This window comes from Homo sapiens, chromosome 17 (assembly GCF_000001405.40).
Source record: "Homo sapiens chromosome 17, GRCh38.p14 Primary Assembly".
In the NCBI taxonomy this organism is placed as follows: domain Eukaryota; kingdom Metazoa; phylum Chordata; class Mammalia; order Primates; family Hominidae; genus Homo; species Homo sapiens.
In genome coordinates this window covers 65626356-65641448 of record NC_000017.11, presented here as the reverse complement: position 1 = coordinate 65641448, position 15093 = coordinate 65626356, and the positions used below count along the sequence as shown (strand labels likewise).

The window sequence follows — 15093 nt, the reverse complement described above, 5'->3', positions numbered from 1 at the left end:
GAGTTGTCCTCAGATGACAGCTTAGTATGGTTGGAGTTCACATCCTGATCAAGGAGAGGCTGCAGGGCTAGCATAGTGGGGAACCTCATGAGTGAAGAGGAGAGAAAAATTATTTTACTTATCAGATGCTGAAAATTGTGTTCATGAGGATTTTAAATAAATAAAGCATTGTTACAGGGACCATCTCTCTCAGAGTCACAGGGTCAGACTGGGTAGCCTTTTCAGTTTTTAACTCTTTCTTCTTATTTCATCTTTATTGTCTGGTTTCTGACCGCGTGTAACAAACCTTTCATTGTGATGAACAGATCTGTTCTGGGACTTCTTAAATCCAAAACAATCATTTATGTGGTAAAAAGATAACTCTTAATTTTTTTCCAATTTAGATAACTTACATACGACAAGAATATGAAACAAAATTGAAAGGATTGATGCCAGCATCCCTAAGACAAGAACTTGAAGACACCATTTCCTCCCTAAAATCACAGGTAATTACTAGAATCAAGGCATTTTCCAAGGATTTAGGGGATACTCTGAAAAGAAACTTGCAAATAAATCTGATTCCAAATTGTTGCCAGAAATCAATGTGATGTCATTGCATAACCTACTACTCAGGATAAATTTTCATTTTGTTTTAAATTTTTTTCTTACTTGTTTAATAACTCACTGTCTCAATAAGAATTTCTTTAAAGCACCCTTAAAATTGAAAAGTTCAGTCAGTTATAACTTCAATTCATTTACAGTCTACCTTCCAATATAGCCTCATCCTTTTATTCTTGGTATCAGGTCCAAAATGCCATCACTTAGCATATGGCTGATTCCTCACTGTGCAGAAGGGCAGAGAAATTGAAAGCACAGTTATGTTAGAAGCACTTTTATTCTGGTGTATTTTACATGGTCGTTAGAGATAACAAGATGTATTCTAAGTTCAAGGCAAAATAATGACAAGGTATTCAAACAATTAGGTTAAATAGTTCTTGTTGAAATGTGTGGTTCTTGGCTGGGCATGGTGGCTCATACCTGTAATCCTGTCACTTTGGGAGGCCGAGGCAGGCAGACCATTTGAGGTCAGGAGTTTGAGACCATCCTGGCCAACACGGCAAAATCCCGTCTCTACTAAAAATACAAAAATTAGCGGGGCGTGGTGGCCCGTGCCTGTAATCCCAACTACTTGGAAGGCTGAGGCAGGAGAATCACTTGAACCCCAGAGGCAGAGGTTGCAGTGAGCCGAGATCACACCACTGCACTCCAGCCTGGATGACAGAAAAAGACTGTCTCAAAAAAAAAAAAAAAAAAATATATATATATATATATGGTCGGGTGCAGTGGCTCACGCCTGTAATCCCAGCACTTTGGGAGGCCACAGCGGGCAGATCACCTGAGATCAGGAATTTGAGACCAGCCTGGCCAACGTGGTGAAACCCCGTCTCTACTAAAAATACAAAAATTAGCCAGGCATGGTGGTGCATGCCTGTTATCCCAGCTACTCAGGAGGCTGAGGCAGGAGAATCACTTGAACTTGGGACGCGGAGGTTGCAGTGAGCCGAGGTCACGCCCAGTGCACTCCAGCCTGGGTGACAGAGGAAGACTCCGTCTCAAAAAAAAAAAAAAAAAAGAAAGAAAGAGAGAAAAAAAAGAAATGTGATGTGGTTCACGATGTGAGAAAAACTTCTAACATGTTTGAATGTTTTACGTATTGTTGGTATCATGAGAAAGAGTTTACATATTCACATCTCCAATACACTTTGATTTTTTTTTTTTTTTTTTGAGACAGAGTTTCACTTTGTCACCCAGGCTGGAGTTCAGTGGTGCTATCTCAGCTCACTGCACCTTCTGCCTCCCAGGTTCAAGCGATTCTCCTGCCTCTGCCTCCCAAGTAACTGGGATTACAGGTGCATGCAACCACGCCCAGCTAATTTTTAGAAACGGGGGTTTGTTTGTAGAGACAGGGTTTCGCTATCTTGGCCAGGCTGGTCTCGAACTCCTGACCTCAAGCAATTCGCCCACCTCAGCCTCATTTTGCAAGCATGAGCCACCGTGCCCAGCCCACTTTGAAGTTTAAGACATATTTTTTCCTTGAAAAATTCCATGAAGGAAAGGATTTATTTACTCCCTGTATCAAGTACTTTGCCTGGCACATAACAGGTGCTTAATAAATATATTTATGAATAAAATAAATGATATGGTTTGATGATATCCACGTTATCTATTTATAGTATGTAAGATAAAATGTGGAACACATTTTAGCTGTTCCTTTTATATTCCCCTAGTAAAACTTCTCTTATCTGAAAATGAAATGTTCATAATCTCAATCCATATGCTACTGTTTGCGATTTTGCTTCTAAGGGCTATGAAATTTTGTTCACGCCTGCATATAAAAATAAGTAGTGGAGGAGAATGGGAACATACAAAGGGTTAAATAATTTTTATTTACATGAAAATCTCCACTCCAGGTGTGGTTTACCCATTAAGTTTGTAGGTGAGCTACAGATAGTGTCAGCTATGTAGGACCTGACGCCTTCAGAGGAGTTTTTTTAGGAAGAGGAAAAAAAAAGGAATCTGATACCCACCTGCAGGGCTTCTGTTATCATTCATATCATTTCACTGTAATAAAAGCCACTTCAGCCTCCTAAAACTGGATGCTGACCCAGAAAGAGAGTGCTGCCAGCTGCGATAGGGCCTCAGAGTTGGCAGCTGCACGCAGGAGTCACAGGCCATACAGTGAGCAAATTTAGTTTGAAAGCACAGGTGCCTGTGTTTTTTGAGAATTGTTGGAATTCCGATTACAGAGCATGGTTGGGGGAGGGAAGTTGAATCAGTGTAATCCCTGCATCTGTCAAAATTATCAATTGTCCTATGGGTCACTTGAGCAATTGGATAAAATGAAGACCAGGGTGCTATACAAATAAGCAAAACCAGGAGGACCACTTTGAGATGCACCCACTTAGAAAGACTGTGTTTTCTTCTCTTTCAAGCACATTTTCTGTTCTGCCAGCTGTACTCCCTTGCATAACTATGTTTCGGGATCAACCGTTGCCATGGTTTCAGTTCAGACCAAAGACGTAAGAATAAACAATTCTGAAACGATCAAATACCACTGACTCTTGATTACATTAAGCCATGGTATAAGTTGGCCCCAAACCATTTGGGTTGTGTAAGGTGCTTTTGAATCCACGCCTGATACAGGCATCTTTAACAGTACAGAAATGTATGCTACACAATAATCAAATGCTTTGTAAAGGTCTGATTTAAGAGAATATGCTAAACAACCCAGTTTCCTCCAGCCCCCTAAGAATGGCGGTCTGGGGGTTGTACCTGCTTTGAGCTCTGCACTAGGCGGTTTCTATAGTTGTTTCATGTCATCCTCATAACCTTGGGAAGTAGCTGTCATTAATCCCATTTCACAGATTAAGCATCAAGAGCTTAAGTAATTTTCCTAGAGCCACAGATGGCAAGCCAGGAATTGAACCAAAGTTGGCCTAACTCCAGACAAAGCTCAGGCTCTTTCCGCTATGAAGTTCTGTCTCTCCAACCTCAGGGAATCCCTAGAATGGATTGAGGTTTCCAGAAAGCAGTAATTTTCCTTACACTCACTCATTCATTCATTCATTCAACAGCTAGTGAAACCAGCTACATGCCCAGCCCTGTAAAAGAAACTGGGGTGGAAAGACAGAAAAGTCATTCCTGCCCAAGAGAAGCTCTCAGGTTTAGGGAAGAGATATGAAAACAAATAACCACAAAGCAGTTTGAGAAGTACCAGTAATAGAGGGGAGGAACACAGAGGAGGGGACCGCTGGCTTTGCCTGGGGCTAGGAGGCAAGGAGCAGCTGGGGAGGAGGTGAACGATTCCACAGGAGAGGTGACATTTAAACCAAATGGTGGAGGATGAATGGGAGACAGAAAGACAAGTGTTCCAAAGAGAGAAAATGGCCTGGGCCAAAGAGCAACGGAGCGAGAAAGACACGGTGTGGAAGCAGCAGTGGTGGGCAGGGCGTGAGGACAGGTAAAGCCACAATGATGGGGGTGGGCCAGATCAAAATGGCTCTGCAATGAGGAGTTTGAACTTTATTCTGTCGTAACTGATGGATTTTCAATAAGGATGGGATGTGACCAAATGTAAAAAACACAACATTGACATTCAACAAATCCTCTGAGTTTTATCTAGGGAATTGTCTGAATTTAAATAAAATCTTACCATACTATTTGCACAATATTGACATGTAAGCCACGTCCACCTCTTCTCACACAAGGTGTCTTTTCTAGGTTAATTTTCTGCAAAAGAGAGCTTCCATCCTTCAGGAAGAACTGACTACATATCAAGGCAGAAGGTACAGCCCATAAGCAGGTGTCTTGTCTCCTGATTAGTTTGTGTTGTGTCACCTGTGAGCCTCCTTGTCTGGCCTTTGTCTTTATTAAAATGCTTGGATATAATACAAGTTTTGAAAAAGACTTGTTTTTAGTAAGTAGCATGTCTTTAAGAAGTCACCCCCCTTCTCATCCCAGTGCTTAGTCTGTACTATCAAAACAAGATGAGAGAATCTGCCGGGCACAGTGGCTCACTCCTGTAATCCCAGCACTTTGGGAGGCCAAGGCAGGAGGATCACCTGAGGTCAGGAGTTCAAGACCAGCCTGGCCAACTTGGTAAAACGTTGTCTCTACTAAAAATACAAAAATTAGCTAGGTATGGTGGCACACGCCTATAATCCCAGCTACTCAGGAGGCTGAGGCAGGAGAATTGCTTGAACCTGGGAGGTGGAGGTTGCAGTGAGCTGAGATCACACCACTGCATTCCAGCCTGGGCAGCAGAGTAAGACTCTGTCTCCAAAAAAAAAAACAAAAGAAAAAGAAAAAAGAAAGATGAAAGATGGAAGGATCTGCAGGGGCATGGCAGGTCCAGGCCTTACCTGGACAAGAGGACAAGATGTTGTCTTGAGGCCCAGTGATGGAGTGAAGGAGACACGATCTTCCTTTAAGATAGTGAGATGATGCAGTACTTGCTAGGATAGCTCACATCTTCAAAGTCCTTTCCCCCAAGGGTTTGGCATTGTTCTCCAGACCAGAATAGACCAACAGCTCAGTGATCCAGCACTCACAGTGACTTGAGTACCCTCAGTGCTCTTTTTGGGGATGCATGAGACCTTTTGTAGTCAAAGGTTCCCAGTGCCATCACTAACATAGATTGTGTTTACCTGCTGTAATTCCATCAAACGCCCTTCCTGTTTGTGCAGTGAAAGACTGAACTACTTATTTGGCTTTGAATTAAAAGGAAAGATCTTGTGAATCACACATTTTTCGAAAGATTCTGTTTGCTCGGTGTAGGTAAGATTTGATCCCTTATAGATAAGCATAAATTATGACATTTTGATATCAAATAGCCTTTTCAACCCCTATCAACTTCTCCAGAATTGAAGCTTATTTTTTGATTGACATACCTGTTAAACCTAGAGAAAGTCGTGACTGCGATTTTTGGTTTACAGGTAACTGCACGAGAGAATGCAACGGATGCAATTTCCAGGCTGTGCTGTGGACTTCTTCCAGCAGGTTTGAAGATTTGGATATTGTAAACTGTGAGATCAGTGGCATTTTTTAAATCCTTAAATGTAATTAAGATCATAAAAACATGCATCATTCATACACTAGTGGGGTGGTTTTATTTGTGTCTGCCTAAGTTATTTTTTTAACATTCCTTTATTTCCGATTTTCATGTTTGTGTGCATTTGAGTATGTGCTGAGAACTGCTTATATTGGGCAAAGTGATTTCCTATGATATGCCTTGTTAATCCTTTTGCATAGAATTTTACCAGTTGCGTACGATCAAAATCACGTTTGTAGTATCATATCAAAAATTCTAACCTGTTTACATTGTTTTCATGTTCATGTTCCTATGTTATTAAAATATTATTTTGTACTTACCAGTTTTATTTCTACTTTTTATCAAACCTCATTTGCTAAAATAAGTGTGACATATATATGATATTTTTCCCAAGCAAATGTTAGCAATCTCAAATTGTACTTTGGGAAAATATACCTTATATCATGTCAACAATCAAATCCATAATTAGTGCATGAATTGGTGTTTAGGATAAAATCGCTGGATCATCTGATATCAGTCCAAGTATTTGTCTTGTTGGTCTCCAATCACGTCCTGGAACCGTAGAGGCAGAATATGGTGTAACAATTTTAGATAGCTGCTGTGGTTTTATTGTTACTTTCTTGATCTCCCTTTTTATGGTTGTCGTTTTAATTATAATATCAATCGATGATCCTTAAGAAAGCCTAAAAAATGTGAGGTCAGGTTATGAGGACACAACACATTGGCAAGTAGTCACAGAATGTGCTTTACTCGGTACGGTTTGCATGTGGTCACTGCCTGGTTGAGAGACTATGGTGTTGCTTCCATGAGTGGATGGTTAAGTCTGGGTCCCTCTCCCCACCCAAACGCCCAAGAGCTGTTCTGTGATGATTGGTCAACCCATTTGCCAAGGAAATTTTGAATTGCGGAGAATGAGTGAAGGGATGCCCCAAGTTCTTTCGACTGCAGTGTGGTGTGTGCCATGGGCATTTTGAGCTCTCTAAAAATCTGGCCCATGGGCGGGGCTGTAATCCTCTGGTTTACTGTAAAAGGACAGGGCACAAAGTTTATTTACACTTTTTCAAAATTCTTTTCTCTTTCCCACGCCCAAGTCTGTTGTTTGCAGCCCAAGGATTAATTACCCCTTTTTGTACTGTAACTGAGCCACAGAGATGATAAGGAAGTAACAGGTTTTACAGCCACTTCCAAAGCCAGGGAGGGAATTGGCATAAACAGGGCTGGGCTGTGGCCATCAGTAGGAGGCCTGGGATTCTTGCACTAACTCATCTCTGTGGGGCTACCACTCAGCCTGGTAATGTTCAGACACCCTGACACCTCCCTCAGGAATATAAGTCTCTGTCTTTTGGAAGATGAGGTTTTTCCTGCATATACAATAAATTATAGTACTGGTTTCAAGAATATTTAGGAAAAAGCAAAATCATTGCAGATGCTATTAAAACAAATGAGGATTATTGGTACTCAGACTATGATTTAGTCTGAAAGGAAAGATTCCTACAGGATTCCTGTTAAGTACTTCTTTCTGTACAGACCATGGAAAACAAGTTGAAGCTCACCAGATTTCATTAGTAAGGTTATTAGGTGCTTGAGGTGAAAATACTTGTGAATTGTATTGTATGCTGGCTTTGGAACTCCCACTCAAGACTATTTGTTTTCCATGAGTAAATATCAGTAGGTGTTTTGGAAGGTTGCCTGCCATTCTTTCTTTTCCTCATTTCAAGGGTTATGAAATTACAAACACTGGTGAACCTTTGACATTACCCAGATCCTGTTTCCCTTCTGAACCATGTCATGTATGTCTGGGAGTAAAGGGAATGAAACTTTAGGTCACTTTGATTGGATGTGATAGGAATGGATGGTTGACTCTAATGTCTTTGTGAACGTTCTCTGATAAAGGAAGAGAAAGAAAAATTGCATTTGGCATGTTTGAAATTCCTTACCGAGTTGAGCGGTGAGTATAGAAATGGCTACTGGGAGAAAAAGAAAGAGCTCAGGAAATAAATTATAAACACTGTGCCTTATTATAAAATCATCTAAGATTCCATCTGTTCTTTTATCTGCTGGAAGATCAATTGTTCATCACAAGTACCTAATTTTGTTACATCTCAAGTTATCATTATTGGCTGCTGTACCTGAGTCATCCACCTGTGCTTTTTCTATTTCAACACGTAATTGTCAACAGGTAGTGGCTGGTAAAGGGTTTGGAACAAGCCAAGCAGAAGAAACACTCTGCAACCCCAGGTTCTTGGTGTTTGTTATTATCCACTTACGGGGTCAGGGAAGAGAAGGGCTAACAGCAAAGTTAGCTATTCAGTCATCCACGTATGTCACAATTTTGTTCGAGTCCACCATTTCTGCATCACCAAGCAGTGCGCCCTTTCAGGGGTCTGAGCTCTGATTTTGCAACCTCCCCACTCAACAATGAACTTCACAGAAGGCAGCCATCGGGGCATAATGAAGAAAACAGGAAGACTGAGGGAACAGAGAATGACGGACTTGCTTCCTAGACCGTACAAAAGAATTGACTGTGATTAAAGGGAAATAGCTCAGATTCAAACATTATCCTGTGATGTCACATATCAACAGTGATTTCTTCAGAAACAGGTGTATGCTTACAGTGGTGAGCAACCTCATTAAAGGCATCTGCAGAGACAGTGCAGACAGAAGAAACTGTGAGTTGGAATTAACAATTAACAGCCCTCTTATTGAAGTGCATCACCATCCATAGAAGGCAGTGGTGTCTTAGCTTGCTTTCTAAGAGTAAAAAGGAAAGGTAAAACATCAAAAATGGTGGGAGAAAAGTTTCAGAACACAAGGTCATTTTAATTCATAGTTTCCTTAAAAGAACTATCTCTTCTGAGCTTTCATATTTTGTTCAGAAAGGTCGTCTCTTTTAAGCCTTGTCATTAAAGACGGTTTGCTCTTTAAAGTGAATTATCAAAGGGTGTAGGAATTGCAAGTTACTGAAACTAAAATACATGATCAATTTTAAGTCTGCTAACTAAAGCCTACTTAAAATTGGATGTGCTTTTGTCCTGGCAGCCCCTTTGATAAAACCAGAAAAAGATACATGGTTGGTCAATTCAAAGTGGGGAATGAAGATAATTAGATAAAACTTTCTTTCAACTGATATTGAAGTGGTTCTTGGCTTTGGAGACTTGATTAGGAAGCAGTGGCATAGGCTGTAATGGTATTTGAAATGTGGAAATGGAGGCCAGGCGCAGTGGCTCATGCTTGTAATCCCAGCACTCTGGGAGGCTGAGGTGGGCAGATCACAAGGTCAGTAGATTGAGACTATCCTGGCCAACATGGTGAAATCCTGTCTCTAGTAAAAATACAAAAAAATATTTAGCTGGCCTGGTGGCGTGCACCTGTAATCCCAGCTGCTTGGGAGGCTGACACAGGAGAATCGCTTGAACCTGGGAGGTGGAGGTTGCAGTGAGCTGAGATGGCGCCATTGCACTCCAGCCTGGGCAACAGAGCAAGACTGTCTAAAAAAAGAAAGAAAAGTAAAATGGAATACCCTAGATTTTGAGCTGGCTAGTGTTAACATTCTTCACTATATTGTTTTAAAATCAGATCATGTGATTTACTTCTCATATGGAGGAAGAGAAATTAAATTTGTAACATAAGACTGAAGAAATTTTAAAATCTGGATTCCTCACTGATAGCTAATTCCACTGAAAATCTGTTCTTCCAGACATTTACATTTTAAGCGAGGATTTCCGTCAGACAAATGTTTGTTTTGTTTTGTTTTGTTTCTTTGTTTTTAAGACGGAATTTCACTCTTGTTGCGCAGGCTGGAGTGCAATGGCACGATCTCGGCTCACTGCAACCTCCACCTCCGGGTTCAAGCGATTCTCCTGCCTCAGCCTCCCGAGTAGCTGGGACTACAGGGATGGACCACCATGCCCAGCTAATTTTGTATTTTTAGTAGTGACAGGGTTTCTCCATGTTGGTCAGGCTGGTCTGGAACTCCCGACCTCTGGTGATCCACCCACCTCGGCCTCTCAAAGTGCTGGGATTACAGGCATGAGCCACCGCACCCAGTCCAGGCAAATGAACTGGACCGAAAACCAAAAGAACCAAAGAACCAAGATGTTGCTATGGGTGCTGCTATTTTGAGAACGCTTAATCTAGACTTTAGGCTAATACATATATTTTTTTATTTTTTTTTATTTTTTGGAGACAGTCTTGCTCTGTTGCTCTGTTGCCCAGGCTAGAGTGCAGTGGTGCGATCTCAGCTCACTGCAACCTCCGCCTTGTGGGTTCAAGCGATTCTTCTGCCTCAGCCTCCCAAGTAGCTGGGATTACAGGTGTGCACCGCCATGCCCAGCTAATTTTTTTTATTTTTAGTAGAGATGGGGTTTTACCATGTTGGCCAGGCTGGTCTCAAACTCATGGCCTCAAGTGGTCTGCCCGCCTTGGCCTCCCAAAGTGCTGGGATTACAGGTGTGAGCCACTGCACCTAGCCTAATTCATACTCTTATATCATCTTTGGAAGTCTGCCACGTAAAAGAGGTCTCATGGAAAATGGCTAGTTGGACACAAAGACTTTATCATGGAACAGAAAGAGAGGGCTACCAAGTTAGAAGCCTGATCTATTTAATTAGCTAAAATGTGGCTATGGGAGGGAGACCATTGTATCCATACCCTTTACTTTAGCTAGGAAAGGAGATTCGTTCACAGGTGGAGTCTAACAATTAGTTTTGTTTCCTTGGGCAATTCTCTTGACCTGTCTGGCTCACTTTTCTAATCTATAACATAAAAGGGCATAACTCGACCAATATTTCCCAAACTCTACCATTTCAACCTTCTCATTTATTGTTTCTCAGACTAGCATTCCGTCAAGCCCTGTTCTGCAAAATTTGTCTTGAAGTGTTCAGGTGTCATATTTAGGAAATGTGACGTGCTATATCACCCTCTGGAAGATTCACATTTACTCAGTCACTCACTCAGTCATTCATTCATTAAATAAATAGTTGCTGATTGCCAGCTGTGTGCCATACAGCAACATGAACCACCCCAAAACTTAATGGCTTAAACAGTAACTTCCTGTCATCTCGCTCAGTGCTGAGGGTTCATCGGGCTCAGCTAGGCTGTTCTCACTTGGGTTTCAGGCAGGTGCAGTCAGGTGTTGGCTGGTGTGGCAGTCATGGGAGGCAAGGGCTCAAGCCCACAAGACCCATTCACATGGTGGGCAACTGATGCTGCCCATCTGCTGGGGAATGGCAGCTTTGAGGTGCCCTCCAGTGCAAGCCCAGCCAGAGACCAGACATTGAAGCTACCAACCCCATAAGGCCAGTGCCCAGAAACTGGCAGGATCACTTCAACTGTCAAAGACAGAACCTACCCAGAGACAAGGGCGGAGGACGCAGACCCAGCAAAGGCAAAGAATCTGTTGCCGTCTGTAAGCTGCCACACCCTTTGCTAAAGAAACCAATTTATCTTTCTTTTTTCTTTTCTTTTCTTTTTTTTTTTTTTTAAGACAGAGTTTCGCTCTTGTCGCCCAGGCTGGAGTGCAATGGGGTGATCTCGGCTCACTGCAACCCCCACCACCCGGGTTCAAGTGATTCTCCTGCCTCAGCCTCCCGAGTAGCTGGGATTACAGGCATGTGCCACCATGCCCGGCTAATTTTGTATTTTAAGTAGAGGCGGGGTTTCACCATGTTGGTCAGGCAGGTCTCAAACTCCTGACCTCAGGTGATCCGCCTGCCTCAGCCTCCCAAAGTGCTGGAATTACAGGCATAAGCCACTGCGCCCGGCCTACCTTTCTTTAATCTGCAATTTCCTAAAATGATTTGATCCATGGAATTATCTTTCAGCTTCTTCTGTGACTCACATATTTTATTGTAGAGTTCTGTGAAATATTGATCAGAGAAGCCCAAACCTAAGATATTGCTTAAAAGTTCCTTCCTGTTCAAAAATTCTGTTAATCTATGTTGCATTTCTAGAATCACAGGTCCAGTTGGGGATTTAGAAACACTTCTTGGGAAACCCTGAGTTAGGGATATTTAAGAGGCCATGTCTTTTTTCTCTGTTCTTTTAAAAGATGGAAGTAACCTTAGTTGAATTTTTTTTCACCTCTCCTCGGCTTGAGGTTTGGTATGCATTACTTGACTTAATTATATTAGCAAGCGTATTATTAAAAGGTCCCTCAAAACCCATACCCTGTGCTCAGGAGCCTTCTTTCGTGGAACTGTCAGGCACATGGAAGGCTGTGGACCTGATAAGCCTTTGAGAGGAAATTTCCTGAACCACAGAGCACTTCAAAACTATTCAACTAAGTAGAGCATAATCATCTAGATAAACAAATGAATCAGCCTTCTAATTGCCCCGTTAGCTTTCTCACTTTCTCACCACCACAGCCCAGTTCTCTCTCTCCTGGCCTCTTAGCCCATCTCCTGGATCTCATTCTTCTCAGCCTGAGCCTGGGGGTCGGGGGAGAAGGTAACTGTGTAAAGGGAGCCAGGTGCAGGGGCTGGGCGGCCCCTCTGCTCTCTTAACTCTCCACATCTTACTGAATGCCACAGTCACCAGACAATTGGTCTAACCCTGTGATCCGCAGGTGTTTTGAAAATAGCTAAACAGGCTGGGCAAGGTGGCTTGCACCTGTAATCCAGCACTTTGGAAGGCCAAGGCCGGCGGATCACCTGCAGTCAGGAGTTCGGGACCAGCCTGGCCAACATATTGTGAAACCCTGTCTCTACTTAAAAAATACAAAAAGTAGCTGGGCGTAGTGGCGCATGCCTGTAATCCCAGCTACTTTGGAAGCTGAGGCAGGAGAATCGCTTGAACCCGGGAGGTTGAGGTTGCAGTGAGCCGAGGTCGCGCCACTGCACTCCAGTCTGGGTGAGAGGGTGAGACTCCATCTCTAAAAAAGAAAGAAAGAAAGGGAGAGAGGGAGGGAGGGACCGAGGGAAGGAAGGAAGGAGAGAGAGAAAGAAAGAAAGAAGGAAGGAAGAAAAGAAAAGGAAGGAAGGAAGGAAGAAAGAAGACATCTAAACGGTTGGTTTGACTGAATTCAGCTCAGTCCAAGAAGCAGAGCCTGTGAGAGTTTGAGGGAGAAAGAAAAATAGAAAAGACACTGTTTCCTTAAGAAGAAATATTTGCCTAAGAGGATCGTGGAGGGTCCTGCGAATCTTGCAGTTTTTAAAGAAACGTCTTGCCATCGACTGAGATTTCTCAAAACTGAATTTTGCATTTCCCAGTTTTGCTTCCTGTGAGGTGACGGCAGCTGTCACTAACCTGACATCAACCCTGATGCTGCTCGTCAGGTTCGTGTAAGCTCGGGTTCTAGCCCACTTTCCCAGCTACTGCAGTGTCACAGTCCTGTGGGCAATCTTTGTCAGGACTGATCGTTTGGCCCATTACGCATCACTGTGTTTGTAATAAAAATATTTACCCAAGCCGGGCCACGGTGGCTGCTGCGTGAAGCCTCAGCGGCGTTGACTCATCATGTCTCCACCTGTTCTTTCTCAGAGTTAAGGATCTGGTAGCAGTTTTCTGCCTAGAGTGATATTTCCTACAATGTTAGAGAACCTTTCTCTGACTGAGTTCCCACTTGTATTATCTGATTTTCTTCTCCAGTATTTTTATTTATTGCATTCGGGCATGTGAATTTGGAAGCTGCTGAAATAGAAATGGGGTAGATTAAGAGTTTTCTTTTAAAACCCTTTCTACTGTCTTATTTGGATTGTGGGGTGTGTGTGGGAGGGTGTGTGTGCGTGCACGCGAGAGTGATGGTAAATCCATATACCTTCAAAGGCAAATCCGCACATCTTTATAGTGCCAGAAATCTTTTTTAAATAGGCTAATTAAGATAGCAAACCTAAGTAGACCTCCTACCGCTGGTCCCTGCTGTCAGGTACTTTGCCTAAAACCATATAATGTTCACTCTCTCTGCCTTTTTATTGGCAAAGAAGAAAGACTAATTGGCCCCATCTCCATCTCACATTGTAATTACTGTTCTCCCTGTGATATCACCTCTAACACGTGAGGAACACATTCACTTCATGCAGACTGTAGATTGAGCTCAACGCTTCAAAGCTGGATTAAATTTGTGCAAAAATTAAATATTCTACAGAATTTTGCAAGTGCCTCATCTGTCCCAGGGACTGAGCCTGGAATTAAAAGGCAAACAAGGTTGAATAAGACTTTGGCAACATGCTCCTTGCCCAGAAAGAGTTTGTGATTCAAGAAGGAAAATAAAACATATGCACAAAAGGGAAAAAATGATAATATAAGAGAAAACATGATCTTTGCGTAAGAGAAATGGCAAGTATTATGAGATTTCCAGGGAGGCAGGAACATTTGCAATCAGGTCTTCTAGGAAGAGGTGACACTTAGCTAGAGTTTAGGATAGCAGTAGGACTTCAATAGGTAGAAATGCAGGGAAGGGCCTTGTAGGTGGAGTCGCAGCCGGTCAGGTAGTTCAGACCATGGAGATGACAACTGCTGGGAGAAAACTAGCATGAGATAAGCTTTTGAAGGTGTGTCAGAGTCAGATTATGGAAGACAAAGGGAACTACATGTACTGTCTACCTGCAGTACTAGGCAAGGCCTCAGCACAGGTCAGTTAAGGATCTGGAATTGGGCTGGGTGCTTAGCTTCTCTGAGTCCGAGTTTCCTGATCCTAAAAAATAGAGGAATAAGGCCAGGTGCAGTGACTCACGCCTGTAATCTCAGCACTTTGGGAGGCTAAGGTGGGCGGGTCACTTGAGGCCAGGAGTTCAAGACCAGACTGGCCAACATGGCAAAACCCCATCTGTACTAAAAATACAAAAATTAGCCAGGTGTGGTGGTGCATGCCTGTAGTCTCAGCTACTCAGGAGGTTGAGGCGTGAGAATCACTTGAACCCCGGAGGCGGAGGTTGTGGTGAGCCAAGATCGCGCCACTTCACTCCAGCCTGGGTGACAGAGAGAGATTCTGTCTCAAAAAAGAAAAAAAAAGAAAAAAAGAAAGAAAAGAAAAAAAAAGAAAATAGAGGAATAGTAGAACATGGTTATGAAGATTAAATGAGGTGTTGCATTTTAAAAAGTCTAACATGCAATAAACTTTCAATAAATGAAGGCTGTTTTAATTTTATGACAATTCTCAATAAGTTTATAAGTCTTATTTCTATTTGGGGAAGCTGAAGCAAAGAGAAGTTTGGAAATTTGTCCAAGGCCACATATCTAACATCTGGCAAAAGCAGCAGTTGGAACCCTTGTGTCTCTGATTCACTCACTTTTGCTCTTTTCACTAGAATGCATTGTCTCCATGCAGGAAAAGTTTGGAGGTTATTTTATAAGCAAGAGGGGAGCAATTAGAGTCATTTGAACAGGGGAATAACATCATCAGAAATTGCTGTATAAGCATGTGTCCAGCTACAGCATGAAATGGGATGGAATTTTTTTTTTTTTTTTTTTTTTTTAGATGGAGTCTTACTCTGTTGCCCAGACTGGAGTGCAGTGGCACGATCTCGGCTCACTGCAACCTCCGCCTCCCGGGCTCAAACAATTCT

General features: G+C 42.5%; 1 protein-coding gene across 18 annotated transcripts in view, besides 1 other annotated feature; it reads left to right on the top strand.

Annotated features, from left to right (window-relative positions):
• CEP112 (centrosomal protein 112) overlaps nt 1-5912 on the top strand; it is a 556597-nt gene extending 550685 nt beyond the window's left edge. For 17 of the 18 annotated variants that reach the window (NR_126542.2, NM_001353128.2, XM_047435529.1 and 14 more), the window contains 3 exons: nt 384-485; nt 4261-4325; nt 5475-5912. Coding sequence is in view for 16 of the 18 variants with exons in the window: in NM_001353128.2 (NP_001340057.1) it covers nt 384-485; nt 4261-4325; nt 5475-5478 (171 nt within the window). In the remaining 2 variants the exon portion in view is untranslated. Of the gene's footprint in view, nt 1-383; nt 486-4260; nt 4326-5474 lie in introns of those variants that run through there. The other variant, XR_007065281.1, reaches the window with a different exon arrangement.
• Nucleotides 11735-12234: an enhancer, noted in NCBI's record as "H3K4me1 hESC enhancer chr17:63625333-63625832 (GRCh37/hg19 assembly coordinates)". NCBI's record gives its function as "activates a minimal SCP1, AML or CMV promoter by ChIP-STARR-seq in naive H9 embryonic stem cells {active_cell/tissue: H9 hESC(naive)}" and the evidence as "EXISTENCE:reporter gene assay evidence [ECO:0000049][PMID:30033119]".